General features: G+C 38.8%; 1 protein-coding gene across 20 annotated transcripts in view; it reads right to left on the reverse strand.

Moving 5' to 3' along the window:
- TASP1 (taspase 1) overlaps positions 1 to 17655 on the reverse strand; it is a 534161-nt gene that overhangs the window by 407335 nt on the left and 109171 nt on the right. For 15 of the 20 annotated variants that reach the window (XR_001754319.3, XR_007067463.1, NR_136629.2 and 12 more), the window contains one exon: positions 16327 to 16405. Coding sequence is in view for 14 of the 20 variants with exons in the window: in XM_047440269.1 (XP_047296225.1) it covers positions 16327 to 16405 (79 nt within the window). In the remaining 6 variants the exon portion in view is untranslated. The remainder of the gene's footprint in view (positions 1 to 16326; positions 16406 to 17655) is intronic. The other 5 variants (NR_136628.2, NR_136630.2, NR_136631.2 and 2 more) reach the window with 1 other exon arrangement.

Consider the following 17655-nt stretch of genomic DNA (forward strand, 5'->3'; position numbering starts at 1 on the left):
TTGGGTATATACCCAGTAATGGGATGGCTGGGTCAAATGGTATTTCTAGTTCTAGATCCCTGAGGAATCGCCACACTGTCTTCCACAATGGTTGAACTAGTTTACAGTCCTACCAACAGTGTAAAAGTGTTCCTATTTCTCCACATCCTCTCCAGCATCTGTTGTTTCCTGACTTCTTAATGATCACCATTCTAACTGGTGTGAGATGGTATCTCATTGTGGTTTTGATTTGCATTTATCTGATAAGCAGTGATGATGAGCATTTTTTCATGTGTCTGTTGGCTGCATAAATGTCTTCTTTTGAGAAGTGTCTGTTCATCTTCTTTGCCCACTTTTTGATAAGGTTGTTTTTTTCTTGTAAATTTGTTGGAGTTCTTTGTAGGTTCTGGCTATTAGCCCTTTGTCAGATGAGTAGATTGCAAAACTTTTCTCCCATTCTGTAGGTTGCCTGTTCACTCTGATAGTAGTTTTTTTGCTGTGCAGAAGCTCTTTAGTTTAATTAGATCCCATTTGTCAATTTTGGCTTTTGTTGCCATTGCTTTTGGTATATTAGTCATGAAGTCTTTGCCCATGCCTATGTCCTGAATGGTATTGCCTAGGTTTTCTTATATGGTTTTTATGGTTTTAGGTCTAACATTTAAGTCTTTGATCCATCTTGAATTAATTTTTGTATAAAGTGTAAGGAAGGGATCCAGTTTCAGCCTTCTACATACAGCTAGCCAGTTTTCCCGGCACCATTTATTAAATAGGGAATCCTTTCCCCATTGCTTGTTTTTGTCAGGTTTGTCAAAGATCAGATGGTTGTAGATGTGTGATATTATTTCTGAGGGCTCTGTTCTGTTCCATTGGTCTATATCTCTGTTTTGGTACCAGTACCATGCTGTTTTGGTTACTGTAGCCTTGTAGTATAGTTTGAAGTCAGGTAGCGAGATGCCTCCAGCTTTGTTCTTTTGGCTTAGGATTGTCTTGGCAATGTGGGCTCTTTTTTGGTTCCATATGAACTTTAAAGTAGCAAACAGGAACACTAGTTCCAGTTTACCAATGAGGAACAAGTCAGTCATTTTGCCAATCAGAATCTGTTTGACAGTGCTTCAAAAAAGTAAAGGGTTCCTGAATTCAATTCAACTGATGTTTATTGAGTACCTACTATATCTTTAAGCCAATAGTCTCGTCCTCAAGGAGCTCCTAGGCTTTCTGGAGAAAAACAACCATACGAGTAGTATAAGTTCCACATCATGGCACCACTGACCTTGGAGGGAGTAAATCTTTGAAGTTGGGCATGGGAAGAAACAAAAGAGGGAGGGAGGGAGGGAGAGAGACAGAAGGCAGAGCAAGAAGTGGGGAGACAGAGAGGGAGAATGGCTGCAGAAAAGAGAAGATATTTAGCTCATCTCAGGCTTCACCACATGGATAAGGAGGGAAGGGATTCTAAACAAGAGCAAAAAGAGAAACATGCACTCCTCAAGAAATTGTGCTAAGTTGTTTACATTGCAATTATAGCAGAAAGAAAAAATAAAGTGAATGACGGTAGCTAGGACTTTCTATTAAATAATAAGAGTTGCCCAGACTTGTAGATTAATAAGACAAACCTGTGCAATTCCCATAGTGAGTGGCTGAAAACTGTCTATGAACTTGATGGCACAGGCAGGGTTTAACTTGCAAAGGTGGTTCTGAGGAAAGTCCAGGACTACATTGCTTATGCTTATTCCAGATACAAATGTTATAATTCTGATATGAAAAGCTACAAAGAAAGACCTGCTACTAAGATGAAGAATAAAATCAAAACAGGTAAGATGAGTCAGACAAAGGAGGGTATGTAAAACAAAGATAAAAAATCTTTAACTTGAGAATATTATATTTCCATATCCCACAAAATTTACTTTTGCATGAGAAGGAAAGCATAACAGGTAGAGCAGAGGCAAATCTAAATTTTAAGGACAAGAAAGAACTCAGGTGAAACAAATGTGCAGCAAATCTTCAAATCCTTATTATTCTCTGACATGAATTTTACTAGCTATCTTAGCTATACTGCAGTAAATACTCTTTTATATATCTGAGAACACATCACTACATCATCTTAGCAGATTTCAATTGGGAGCCTATTAATTATTCTATCATCAATATTAGTAAACAGTGATCATTATGATAGATTACAACATATATAATTTACTAGGAAATTTTGAAGAACCAGTAAAACATTCTAGGGCTGGGATAGAGAGAGAGAAATGGAGAAACAAGAACTCCTCAGCATTATTAAACACAGCCATAACAGAGTCCCGACTAACAGGAAATGCAATGGTGCGAAGTGAGAACATCCATGATAATTAGCATAGCTGTGTGTTTCTCCTCCATAAGGAAAGGTGTCCCAATTCTGGGATGGATGGGCACAATCCTTCCAATCTGCTCCCTCCGTTAGGATTCAAGCTGAAGTCTGATTCCAAAGCCCATAAATCCCTCACCTCAATGTGCCCCTAAGTGTACTTGCTCTTCAATTCAATGTAGGTACAGGCAGACCTAAAATACCATTGTAGAATTTTAGTTGAAGTCTCTATTTCTTCAATATCCAACTGAGATTTTTTAAAACAACTATCCATGCTTTCTACTAGTCAGTATTTATTTCAATTCTTTTTCATCAAAGCTAAAAGAAAAACACAACATACAAATAAGTGTACTTTTCATGATATGAACAAAACATTCTGAAAATAAAAATGTAAGGTATCTTTAATCGTGGCATTTTATACTGTGGGCTGGATCATGCTGCAATTCACTAATGAGAACCATGACATACATTCAATAACAAGTTAATAAAAATGCAAACTGTTTCTACATTTTACATTTACATGTTCCCACTTTTTCTCCATGATTCATCAATAAATCTTTTTGCCCAAATTAACCAGCCATCATGAACAGAGCTAGTTAAAATAAATACATTTGATTCAGCACTATGCCTTTCTAACCCCTCTATCAGCATCTTTTCAAGTTAGCAGTTTGTTGTATTCACTTCTGTTTGCAGCAAGAACCTTGGCTAACATACAGGAATTGGTATATTCCATAAGAGTCTAAAAACATAAGCATCACTTCTTCCAACACAATAAGCCTGTCTTGGTAGTCTCCATACATGCTAGACCAAATGGTCGGTTGTTAAACTATTCATTAATGCTCACAGGGATACCCAAGAGTCAAGAATATACACCAGATCATCTTAGCTTTAGATGCACCAAAACACAATGAGGAAAGCAACTGGTAATTTGTATGTGATGGGTGTTGCACAGCACCACTTTGTCCATCAAAGTGTTGTCTTGCTGCTTAAAGTACTGTCTGTGGACCAGCAGCACTGGCATTATCTGGGAGCTTGCGAAAATGTAGAATCCCAAGACTCATCCCAGACCCACTGGATCATAGCCTGCCTTTTAACAAGATCCCCAAGGTGATTCATACACTTAAAAAAAAAAAAAAAAAAAAAAACTTGAGAATACACCATTCAGATTATTATCCCAAAGAATGCTGAGAAACAGGAGCCCAAACTAAAGTTTGTGTTTAAAGATCAGTACACCTTACACTGACAATGTCCAGGGAAATCTTAAGAAGAATTAAATATCTACATGTCAAACATCTGAAAGCAAAACCCCGGAATTCCCTGGGCATCAATTTTTTCATGACAGCTTGCCAGTATCAGACATACTAAGTACCTTCAAAAAGTGATGAGTTATACCATGGACAACTTTCATAGCAACAAATTATCAATTTACAAAACTCAAAGTCAACACATTGTACCTCACAGTCATTTAAGCTGGCATGACTTTAAAGTACACACAAATATGAAGCAACCCATTGGAACTATTTGATTTATGTTAAACAGAACTATGGAATTTAAACATTCGTATGCTCAACCAAACCCTATTCCTAGCCAGTCGGCTCACTGATCAGTTTACAGATATCCTTCCAACATATACTGTTCAGCTAAATTTAATATATTTTTTAAAATAAATCTTACTTCAAGTAAATTTCCTGAGCTGAAAAGAACTACAGCAAAATAATACCAAAAACAGCCCTGTGCCATAAAAGGCACTAGTTGTATTTAGTGAATTCTGCATTTCACAAGAACCTTCTACAGAGGGAACCAAGGTGGCAAACCCACGAAGGCCTTGAGTCCAGCAAGGGCCATGAAGCAGCATGTCACAAAGAAATTGTTTTTCTCCTCCTTTTGATGAGTTATGCTTTCAAGTCAGGAAATTAGAAACAGGTGTGCCAGAGGGCACACACATCCTCGCTCCACACTGAAAAACACACGTTTCCAATTTTCAAACATGAAAGAGACTCCTGTTGAATGAAAGAAGAAATGAAAATCCAGCCCTGTTTCTGTGAACCATATGAAGGGAGCTTAGAAAGTCTTTGACAGGTTGCTCAACTTACCCCCTCTCCAACTGACAGCAGGTAGTACTCCACAATGGGAAGGAAAAGGCATTCTTTCAAGTGAGAACAATCAAAGGGAGAACTACATCAAGGATGGCAGAACTGGCATTTTAACTCATCACTTGATCTTACGCCTTTGTTTTTTTTTTTTTTTTTTTTTAACATTTCTTCACCTTGTGTTTTAAAATTAGAAGTCTGTTCTTTCACAAAACAACAACAAAGCAATGCAAAGTAAGTATCTAGCAAAAAAAATCTGAGAAATTAAAACATCAAAAGTGCATCTTGGGGATCACTTTATCCATTATATCCCAGGTCTACAATCTCTTTCAGAGAAAGACTTACCTTCCTTCCATGATGTCCTCAGCTCTTCTAGAGGTTAGGGGCTGAAGACATTTCAGTGAGTGTAGGAGGGTGATGGGTAGTGTTAAGATTAAAAACAACTGGTTTTGTTGAGATTTGGGGAGAGAAAGGTGGCAAGAAGGGAGATGTACTAATGGCTGCAACAACAGTCAAGCCATCAGGTACACTGAGGTACCTGCAAGTGATCCTTTGGGAAGCGCCACAGTGCATATTCCCTAGGTGAATGGATGCAGCAGAGCCTCATTCGGTGCTAATATAAGCCTTTTGCTATAGCTAATATGTCAACATATTCCTATATTGGCAAGAAGGTTTCCTATATTACCAAGGCCCCAGGTTTCATGTCTTTTGAGGACAAGGACTATGTTTTTAATTCTCTCTTATCATAACCAGGCTAGAACATAAAATAAGAGCCTCTAAAACAGCTGCTGCTTTATTGCATGAGGCCAATTACAAGTCGTCTTGCTGAGGAGCAAAATACATGAACTCATGATGCATGGAAAGATATCCTTCATATCCTTTAAAATTATGTTTGGAAGAATAATAATACATAAAAATGTTCATTATAAAATATTAAATGAACAAAGTACAATACAAGCTAAGCAGTATTTCCGCTTTTGTTTAATGGCAAAAATCCACCGAAAATATTAATAGTGACTACCACAGGATGGCAAAAATTATCAGTTTCATTTCCCAAATCCTATCAATGAGCATGCATTATTTCACAATCAGGAAAAAAATCTACTCATTTAAAATCTCTAAGATACAAGTAACATGTCGCACTGAATGAAAGGAAGAAATCCACTCATTTAAAATCTCTAAGATATATCAATTGCTGTCACATTGAACTGGTTTCTTAGAAAATCATCTGGCATAATTCAGAATTCTACATAATTGCATACCATCAGTGACTTTACTTATATAAAAAGCAAGAAGCAATATATTAAAAGTTAATCAGATATGAAGTGACCTAATTAGAGTATGCAATAAACTCAGAATAGAATTCCCATCCCAGATAATTACTTCAGTTCTTAGAAATGTGCTGGTAGTTTATATACTCTGTTATCTGTAAATGAATATTATTTTTCCCACCCCCAACAACCAAACAGTCCAAAGAGTTAAGTGCTTTTAAGATGACAATGTTTACAAACATTAGGGTTTTATCTAGGCTCACATCTAGAAGTCATAATTCACAAAAAGATTTCCCATGGCATTATTCCTAACCCCACATATTATGTCTCAAATTATTTCAGCTCCAGTGGCAGCTCCTCAGCATTCTAAGAATCTCATTGAGAGTGACAAAAATTATGAAGGTTTATTCTTTCATAAGGACAAGAAACTTCTGAGAAGCCAGTGTCAGCCTGCCCAACAAGGCAGATTAAGGAATCAAAGTGGACTAAAGAGTCTGGATGTCACCAACAGGACTAAGAGCAATGTATTTAACTCCTTGACTAGTTTTGCCTCTCAGCGTCTGGATCATTCCTCATCATGCCAGAACACTCTCAGAGAAGAAAGAGCTATCTTCATGTATCTTCTAAAAGTATGATCATCTCCCTACTCAAGAGTCCCCCTTTCATACAAAAGAAAATGTCTAAACACCACGACCTAAGTCCCCAAATTAAGCCCCAAACACCTCAGACTCAATCATCTTCTTCAGGCATCCTCTGCTCTTATCAAGAATATACCACTCTTAGCCCCTCATTTGCCTTCCTCTCAGCCTTCACTCATCCGGGCTTCACTGGCTTACCCCACCACAATGTATTTGTTTGTCATTCATATTCATTCACACTCATTCAGCAGTTGTAGGTAATAAGCAACATTCACACATCAACGAACAAAGCTGATGAAAATCCCAACCCCTAAGGAATTTAGAGCAGGGTAGAAAATAAAAAGAAAATAGCCAAGAGCTAAAAATAGAACCACCATTTGACCCAGCAATCCCATTACTGGGTATATACTCAAAGGAAAATAAATTGTTCTACCAAAAAGACAAGGCACTCACATGTCCATCATAGTATTATTCACTATAGCAAAGACCTGGAATCAACCTAGATGCCCATCAGTGGTGAATTAACAAATAAAATGTGGTACATATACACCATAGAACACTACACAGCCACAGAAAAGAACAAAAAAAATATCCCTTGCAGCAACATGGATGTAGTTGGAGGTCATTATCCTAAGCAAATTAATGCAGAAACAGAAAACCAAATACCCTATATTCTCACTTATATGTGGCAGCTACACATTGGGTACACATGGACATAAAGATAGGAACAATAGACAATGAGGACTACTAGAGTGCGGAGGAAAGAAGAGGCACAAGGGTTGAAAAACTATCTATTGGGTACTACACTCATGACCTGGGTGATAGGATCAATCGTACCACAACCTCAGTATCATGCGATATATTCATGTAACAAACCTGCAAATGTACCCATGAATCTACAGTAAAAGTTGAAATTAAAAGAAAGAAAAAGAAATAAAGGACAACTCAAATTAGAAAATAAAACCGATCCAGCAGCACATCAAAAAGCTTATCCACCATGATCAAGTGGGCTTCATCCCTGGGATGCAAGGCTGGTTCAACATACGAAAATCAATAAATGTAATCCAGCATATAAACAGAACCAATGACAAAAACCATATGATTATCCCAACAGATGCAGAAAAGGCCTTTGACAAAATTCAACAACCCTTCATGCTAAAAACTCTCAATAAATTAGGTACTGATGGGAAGTATCTCAAAATAATAAGAGCTATCTATGACAAACCCACAGCCAATATCGTACTGAATGGGCAAAAACTGGAAGCATTCCCTTTGAAAATTGGCACAAGACAGGGATGCCCTCTCTCACCACTCCTATTTAACATAGTGTTGGAAGTTCTGGCCAGGGCAATCAGGCAGGAGAAGGAAATAAAGGATATTCAATTATGAAAAAAGGAAGTCAAATTGTCCCTGTTTGCAGATGACATGATTGTATATCTAGAAAACCTCATTGTCTCAGCCCAAAATCTCCTTAAGCTGGTAGGCAACTTCAGCAAAGTCTCAGGATACAAAATCAATGTGCAAAAATCACAAGCATTCTTATACACCAATAACAGACAAACAGAGAGCCAAATCATGAGTGAACTCCCATTCACAATTGCTTCAAAGAGAATAAAATAGCTAGGAATCCAACTTACAAGGGAAGTGAAGGACCTCTTCAAGGAGAACTACAAACCACTGCTCAATGAAATAAAACAGGATACAAACAAATGAAAGAACATTCCATGCTCATGGGTAGGAAGAATCAATATCGGGAAAATGGCCATACTGTCCAAGGTAATTTATAGATTCAATGCCATCCCCATCAAGCTACCAATGACTTTCTTCACAGAATTGGAAAAAACTACTTTAAAGTTCATATGAAACCAAAAAAGAGCCCACATTGCCAAGTCAATCCTAAGCCAAAAGAACAAAGCTGGAGGCATCTCGCTACCTGACTTCAAACTATATTATAAGACTACAGTAACCAAAACAGCACGGTACTGGTACCAAAACAGAGATATAGACCAATGGAACAGAACAGAGCCCTCAGAAACAATGCCACATATCTACAACCATCTGGTCTTTGACAAACCTGACAAAAACAAGAAATGGGGAAACGATTCCCTATTTAATAAATGGTGCTGGGAAAACTGGCTAGCCGTATGTAGAAGGCTGAAACTGGATCCCTTCCTTACACCTTATACAAAAATTAATTCAAGATGGATCAAAGACTTAACTGTTAGACCTGAAACCATAAAAACCATATAAGAAAACCTAGGCAATACCATTCAGGACATAGGCAAGGGCAAGGACTTCATGTCTAAAACACCAAAAGCAATGGCAACAAAAGCCAAAATTGACAAATGGGATCTAATTAAACTAAAGAGCTTCTGCACAGCAAAAGAAACTACTATCAGAGTGAACAGGCAACCTATAGAATGGGAGAAAATTTTTGCAATCTACTCATCTGACAAAGGGCTAATATCCAGAATCTACAATGAACTCCAACAAATTTACAAGAAAAAAACAAACAACCCCATCAAAAAGTGGGCAAAGAAGATGAACAGACACTTCTCAAAAGAAGACATTTATGCAACCAAAAGACACATGAAAAAATGCTCATCATCACTGGCCATCAGAGAAATACGTATCAAAACCACAATGAGATACCATCTCACACCAGTTAGAATGGTGATCATTAAAAAGTCAGGAAACAACAGATGCTGGAGAGGATGTGGAGAAATAGGAACACTTTTACACTGTTGGTGGGACTGTAAACTAGTTCAACCATTGTGGAAGTCAGTGTGGCGATTCCTCAGGGATCTAGAACTAGAAATACCATTTGACCCAGCAATCCCATTACTGGGTATATACCCAAAGGATTAGAAATCATGCTGCTATAAAGACACATGCACACGTATGTTTACTGTGGCACTATTCACAATAGCAAAGACTTGGAACCAACCCAAATGTCCAACAATGATAGACTGGATTAAGAAAATGTGGCACATATACACCATGGAATACTATGCAGCCATAAAAAAGGATGAGTTCATGTCCTTTTTAGGGACATGGATGAAGCTGGAAACCATCATTCCATCATTCTCAGCAAACTATCGCAAGGACAAAAAACCAAACACCGCATGTTCTCACTCATAGGTGGGAATTGAACAATGAGAACACATGGACACAGGAAGGGGAACATCACACACCGGGGCTTGTTGTGGGGTGGGGGAGGGGGGAGGGATAGCATTAGGAGATATACCTAATGTTAAATGACGAGTTAATGGGTGCAGCACACCAACATGGCACATGTATACATATGTAACTAATCTGCACGTTGTGCACATGTACCCTAAAACTTAAAGTATAATAATAAAATTAAATTAAATTAAATTAAACCAATTTTTTAAAAAGAAAATTGTGTAAAGATATAAAATATTAGATAATGATACTTGCTACGGGAAAAAATAAAACATGAAAGGGAGACAGGAAATGTTGGCTGAAGGAAGAACTCCATGTTTATATAGGATGGCTGCAGAAGAACTCATCAAGGTGACTCATTTGAATAAAGGTCTGATGAGGTGAGAGTGGGGGCTTGAGACACTGAGGGTGGAGGAGAAGCAGCAGCTTGACAAAGCCCCTATGGCGGGAGTGTGCGTGGCATGTGTGAAGTACTGCAAAGGAGCCACCGTAGCTGGAATTGTGTGAGCAAGAGAAGAAAAGCAAGAGGTTCTGAGGGGAAGCTGGGAAGTATCTCCAACAAGGCCTTATAGGCCCTTCATTAGGACTGTGGCTTTCCCATTTATTAAGATGGGAAGTGGCTTAACATTTCAAAATAGAGGTATATCGTTTGAGTTCGGTTTGAACACCAGTTGCAGGGTTGCAAAACAAATAAAGGGGGAATGGGGCAAAAAGCAAGAGACCAGCTAGGAGGCTAGCAATGATCCAGATTAGAGATGATGGCACCACAGAACTGTTGGTGGCCATTAACGTGCTGAGAAGTGGTCAGATTTTAAATATATTCAGAGAGGAGAGTAAACAAAGTTTGTTGGTGAATTGGATGTGCGTGAGATAGAAAAGAGGGTCAAGGATGAACCCAAAATTTTGACTTGAGCCACTGGAATTGACACTTGCTGTGGGGAAAATATTTCAAGAGAACACGTTTAGGGTTAGGCAAGAGCTCATATTCGGACATGCTAAATAGATGTCTGTTATATATACAAGTGGAGATTTTAACAAGCACTTGAATTATAACTCAGTTATGGAGAGAGGCCCAGGTTGGAGATAAAATTGTAGGAATCATCAGCACATAGATGGTACTTAGCCATCAGACTGGATGAGACACAAAGGGAGCAGGTATACAAAGAAAGAGAGAAGAGGTTCAAGGACTAAGCACTGAGGCACTCCAACACTGAGACGTCAAAGAGATGAGGAATATTAACAAAGGAGACTAAGAAGGAGCAGCCAGTGAGGTGGCAGGAAAAACAGGAGTGTGTGGTCCCTGGAAGTCTATTAAGGACAGTATTTACAGGAGGAGCAAGTTATTTGAGCAACCGTGTCAAATGTTGCTTATAGGACTAAAGGATAATCACATGACTTTAGAGGTAATTGTTAATCTTGACAAGAACAGATTGGTGGCGTGGTAGAGGAGAAGTCCTGACTGAAGTAGAATAAAATTGAGTGAGAGAAGAGAACTAAGAAAAATAATAAACCTTGAGTATAGAAAATTCCTTGAGGTTTCACCTTGAAGGGTTGCTAAGAAATGGGGAGAGGGCTAGAAGGAAGACTGGAACCCTAGGTGATTTGCACTGAGTCCTCAGTAGAATAGGGCTTGTATTCACCAAGAGTGCCTGTGACACACAGAGTACAAGAATGACTGCTGCTAAATAGAAGCTGAAGCATGGATTCCTGCCTGCCTTCCACATACCCTTAAAGAGCAATGACCACATGGCATTTGTCAATATCTCAGCAGTAGTCTCCCATTGGCTCCTGCTGTCACATAACCCCCCTCTCACAGAGAAGGCTGTCTCGTGCCCTCCTGACAAAGGTCTCTGGGCACGAGTTTTCTAACACAGTCCCATAGACAATCTCCCACAGAGGGACAGAGGAAGACCTCTGGTTGTTAAGTTGAGAAATCAAAAAGGAATGGCATATTCTCCTAGCCCTTGAGGAAGAAACTAATCACTAGCTCAGAAATATTGAGGCATAAGGCTGTTCTCAATTTTGGTATTTTTTTAATCCCATCTACCTTTGAAGCTACTCCTGGCAAGTCCTGACCACAACCCTCTCCGTCCTCAGGTTTCTAGAAATGCCCAGAGCCAAGACCTTAAAAAGCAAAGAACTGAGAAAATCAGAAATCCTTTGGCCTCACAGCAGAAACAAGGTAGTAGGTCTTTCTTCATGCCAGAATACTTTAAGGAGGGGAAATGAAGCCTACATCTTCTGATCTTAGTCAATTGCCATCAGTACCCCTGTACTCACTGTTTCCAGCACTTTTTGAGGCCAAAGTGGGAGGATCACTGGAGCCCAGGAGTTCAAGACCAGCCCGGGCAACACAGCAAGATCCTGTCTCTACAAAAAAATTAAAAATTATCCAGGTGTGATGGTGTGCACCTGTAGTCCTACCTACTTGGGAGGCTGAGGCAGGAGGATCACTTGAGCCCAGGAGTCCAAGGTTGCAATGAGCCATGATCACACCACTGCATTCACTCCAGCCTAGGCGACAGAGTGAGACTTTGTCTTTTTTTTTTTTAAAGGAAAGAAAAAAGAACTGTATAGACAAGTAACGGAAAAGCAATGTTAAGGTAAACCAAAGCATAAACTTAATCTCTTGCTTTTTTCCCCTCCTTCTGATCTTCTAATCTTCAATCTGCTCGTCCTTTCCATAGCCAGAGACATATCCCAGATATTTCTAACATTATGTATTTGCTGTGTTACTGAAAAATTATGTGTGAATTCAAATGTGGCAAATTGAATTATATTTTAAAATCCTATTTAAAGAAAGTCCATGGTGAATAATCTGTTTGAAAAAGTAAGCATTCTTCTCAAACAGGGAGGACCCACACATACATTTCTTAATTTTTATTTGTATACCGGGCACTTACCCTGTACAAGGCTGTTTGCCAGGCACTCAGGAGACACAAATATACCCACAGCCCTCTTTCCTCAAGAGTTTATCTTACTGCCTCAAGACAGTCTGAAACAAATTATTTATTTTCTAGAAAAAGCTGAGAATAAGAAAAGCTTTTACTATAATTTATCAATTCTAAAATATACTTTTTTCACATTTTTAAACTTCTGGATTCAGGTGTGTTATAACTGATGCATCCTCCCATGTAATCCTCCAGGCATTACATGCCTGGTGGCAGTAGTGACAGAGCTGCCACTGCCTCTAGATGCAAGCGGTTCGCATGTGTTGACCCTTCAGTTACGTGCCGTGTTGGAACTACATGTGTTGAGTTAAACTGTTGTTTAAAATGTGTTCAGAAGGATTACGGTGTGATACAGAATTCAAATTAAAAATAACTGTACACATAGAAAGGTATGGAAATGGCAATGAGGCATGACTTTGCTATCAGTGAAGGAAATACTTCTCACTGATGAGACATCCCTAATTCTATATTTTCCTGTAAAGCAACCACCATGCATTAAGTGATGAGAAGGCAGTGTGTTATACTTTAATTGACAGTCTTTTGTTTCCTTAGTGGTATAAAAATAATGGTGCATCTGATAAAGGATGATGACTTAGATTCAATGAAATACAGTAAGTATTGAGCCCCTACTCTGGGACAAGAAATGCACTAAAAGCTTTGTGTATGTCAACTTACTTACCCCTTACAGTAATGGTAGATATTATTCTGGTTTTACAAATAACCCCTTGCCCAGGCTCCACAGCTAGTGGGTCTGGAAGAGTCTGGACAGGAACTCATGTGCCTGCTCTAGTCTATCCCTAGCTAGGCAAATTCCTATGACGCCAGAACATTAGTCAGAGTTTGAAAGGTCAGCTCCTGTTAATCCACCCCCTCTCCCCAAGCCCTTACTCATTTCTCCTCACCCAGTGATGAGAACAAGATGCTAGAGTTTATCCCTCAGGCTAATGACCAAATCACCCATCTGGCCTTGGGAGAGCCCTATCCTAACCATAACTAACTATCTTTTCTCCGCCTTTCAATTATCACCTTCTAAGATATATAATCCTAAAATGCAGGCCAGGTCTCTGGATTTTCTGCAGCAGCCTAAGGCACAAGTCTTCTTTATTTTGGCCAAACAGTTGCAAAATTCAGTGCTCCACCTTTCTTCTGACTTGATCACCCAACTCTGCCATGTGTTTCCATTGTCAACTTCATAGCAACAGCCCCATGAGAAACAAGAATGAGGCAATCACACAAAGTCCAACGGACAAGAGGGACTGGAGATTTACTCTATCATCCCCAGGTTCTGTGGGCTGATGATGGTTAGTCTTTTAGCTTGCGAAGAGTATAACATGACAAGTTGGGTATCTAAGTTAAAAAGCTACACTGGATGTCATGAACTGGAAAGCTAGAGGTATCTTTAGACATATGAAACTATCTTCAACTGACACAGGATAGGCAAAAGAGGAAATATTCAAAAGCAATGGAGAAAAACCTTAATTTTACAATTTTAACTTTACCTACCCATTCCTTGCATTCTACTTAATAGAATCAAATCCATGGAGTATGTTCTTATTCCAACTTGCACATCACCAATTTTAAAATAAGGGTAGGGGACTGGTGGACAATCTCCTCGGACTTGGAAATCTCTTTTCCAAATTGACACAATCAGGCAGGCTCTCAGGATTTCAGTTTAGAATAGAAGCCAATTCTCCTAACATCTAGATATGAAAGTAATGTCTAAACAACAACCTATCTCACTGAACAACATATTGACCACAAAGAAAACTCTTATAATACATGATTCCAACTGTGATTTCTTTGAGACAATCAAAATGCAACTATGAATTAGTCTTTGCTTTGTTCAAGTACTACAATTTTCCATAGACACGGGGCCATACTAAATTATGTTCACAGCCTAATTTGTAAACATTATGCATCAAGGTTTTCATGTGCCACCAATATTAAATTAAAATTTAAAATTAACTCATATTATTACATTATGCTCATTTCTTCAAAAATGACTAAAAACAATTTTTTGACAATTATAGTAGTATGGATTCGATTCAACATTAATTCATTTTAGACTTCTCCTGATAGGCCAATGGCTCAAAACCATGTTTTTCCACTGATGCAAGAAATGGAGCTAGGTCAGGAGGCTGCTAAGATAGGCAGGCATGAGAAGATGAGTCTGAAAGAACAGAGTCAGGAAAGAAGAAACAGAAAGAAACCACAAATATGAGAGTGGTGCCAAGATTTCAAGTCTGAGCAAAGGATAGGAGAATAAGAGCAATGAAAGAGATAGAGGACACAGGAGAAAGGTGACACAGGGTGGGGATGAAGAATGAAATGTTCTGTTGAACCTCATGAGTCTGATATGTATACACAGCACCCATAGGAACATGCCCACCAGGAAGTCAGAAAGGACTCACATGCACCTCAAAAGTCCAAAGTAGATACAGACATGGAAGCCAATCCCAAGAGAGAACAGCTGAAATCATGAGAACAGCAGAAATAACAAGAAATCAGCAGGAGAAAGCACAGAATTCACCAAAGGCTCAACCCTGGGGCTGTGGGCAATGGGAGGACAGAGGAGTAAGAATCTATGAAGAAGGCCAAGATGGAACAGGTCAGAGAGGCAGACAAACCAAGAGGGTTCCAGGATCTATGCTACATGCAAAAGAAAAAGTCACTTGCATCAGAGATCGCAGAAAGAGCAGACAGAAAGCAGGACAAGAGGGCTACTGGACTGGGTGCTTTGTTAGTGTGGTGGGGCAGAAACCAATGTGATAAGAAATTGGAGAGAGAAAGGTAGGAAAGGAAGCCATATTTGTCCACTCTCCCGATAAAGTCTGATGCTGTTGGAGAGAAAGGGATGGGACTGTAACTTGAAGGATAACATGAAAAAGGAATGAATCAATATTATTTTGTCAACCAGAGGTATCATCACATAATGAGAAAAGGCTTCACGTACATCTGGCACAGGCATGATTAAAGTATGGAAATAGACAACAACCATTCTGCCTATTAAAACTCTCCATGTCCACCATTCCTCATCTCCTGCACACACGCACGCACGCACACACACATACGCACACACACACTTTGTACTAAATGATAATGCCTTTACAATATACATATAAAAAGAAGACCTGTATTACATTAAAAGTGTCGTTCAAGGACTGAATGTCATAAACTGTATATTTGGAAATGTACCTTGTAAGTTTTATGTCAACATTTTACTCAAGAGATTATCTGTTAATTTTTGAAATTAACTGCTACTTTTATGTCTTTTGTTATCTAAACTTGGCAGCATCATGGGTCATTAGAAAAAATATAGATCTATAAAAATATAATTAACCATAGTTAACTCCAGAGTTGTATTGAAAATGTTAGTGGGTCGGGTGCAGTGACTTAAGCCTGTAATCCCAGCACTTTGGGAGGCCTAGGAGGGCAGATCACTTGAGGCCAAGAGTTCAAGACCAGCCTGGCCAACATGGCAAAACCCTGTCTCTACTAAAAATACAAAAAATCAGCCGGGTGTGGTGGTGCACGCCTGTAATCCCAGCTACTCGGAAGGCTGAAGCATGAGAATCACTTGAACCTGGGAGGCAGAAATTGCAGTGAGCCAAGATCGCACCACTGCTCCAGCATGGGGACAGAGTGAGACTCTGACTCAAAAAAAAAAAAAAAAAAAAAAAAAGAAAATGTTAGCAAAGTATTTACACTGATACTAAACAACCCTTAAAACCTCGCAAATACTGAAGATCTTTCCCACATCCATACACTGTCATAGCACATGTTCTATGTTTACCCACAAATATTGCTTTTAATCATTAAATGATTGACAAGGTTGAAGTTATGAGAAATGGTTATGAAAGCAGCAAATACCTGAGGTACTCACAGCTGTGGAGTAGGGGTTATGAGCTCCAGTATTTTCAGCCCAGCAGCCACATCCATAAAGAGCAGCCTGGGGAAAAAAGAAAATAGATATAATATTTCAGAAATATCATATGTAATTATTAGTTTTCAACAGAAATCATACCCTCTAATAAAGCCTGGTTTAATAATGATGTAAAACAACTAGGTGATAATACCAGATGTTGTATAAGACATACGCACACGATGCTTTTAATACTATCAAAACTATGTTTTCAGATATTCCATTAATCTTAAAACTTTCAGAAAATAGCAAAAGCAAGTTTCTTAGTGTCATCAGCAGTAATTTTTTCCTTCCCTGAAAAACTTCTCCCTTTTGTAATTTGTCAGCTAGTTGTTCTTCTGGCCCCTTAAAACCAATGTGGTTGGCTTAAAATAGTAGTTTTCAAACTAGGTGTGTGTCAGATCACTTGGGGAGCTTACTGATAAGAACCCTGATTCCTGGAAATTCTGACTTAGTGTCTGGGGCAGACCTAGGAATCAGTACTGTTAACCAGGGCCATGGGGTACTGGGATGCAGCTGGTCCTCCTGCCATGCTCCAGGAAACCCTGCTTCAAGAGGGCCTTTTCCATGTCTGTGTTGACGTGGCACAAGAGGAAGTGCAAATAGTTCTGTACCAAAGGGCCCAATATATGCTCACTACTGTGCTAGATTCAGCCAGATGAAAAGAAAGGAGGCAAAAAGGCCTACTCAAGCTCATCACTTTGTTAGGTGGTGGAGCAGATTTATACATCTGAAACCATCAGGTACACAATAAGCTACTATGGTTTTATAACAGATTATGACAATCATTCCTATTTTGTTTTTAATAATGCTACTTCTCTTCAATATCCACAATGACTTTTCTGACTTTGGGAGGGAAATCACAACTAATAACTCTTCCACTCCATAGTAAGAAGTAGAGATTAAAATTTTTAAAAAACCTAGCTAGCTAGCTATCATAGCAAAATACAAGGTGGCATGCTCAAGAGTTCATTACTAAATGGTTGATAAGAATGAGAAACTTGAAACAACCTAAATGTCAATCAGTGAGGAAATGGCTAAACTTTGGCATGGCATTATGTGGAATTCATTGCAAAGGTTAAAAATAAAAGAATTAAGCTTTTTAAAAAGTCTTTAAGAACAAATACAGAAAGAGCTCCCAAACATATTGTTGAATTGAAAACAATAGCAAGCTACAATACATTCAGTATTCCCTGCCACTGATGGAGGAAAAAGATACTCCCATAAAGCAGTACTGATATTTTCTAAGAGTTCATTCTGAGGACTGGGGAATAGGC

The sequence above is a fragment of the Homo sapiens genome, chromosome 20 (genome assembly GCF_000001405.40).
Source record: "Homo sapiens chromosome 20, GRCh38.p14 Primary Assembly".
In the NCBI taxonomy this organism is placed as follows: Eukaryota; Metazoa; Chordata; class Mammalia; order Primates; family Hominidae; genus Homo; species Homo sapiens.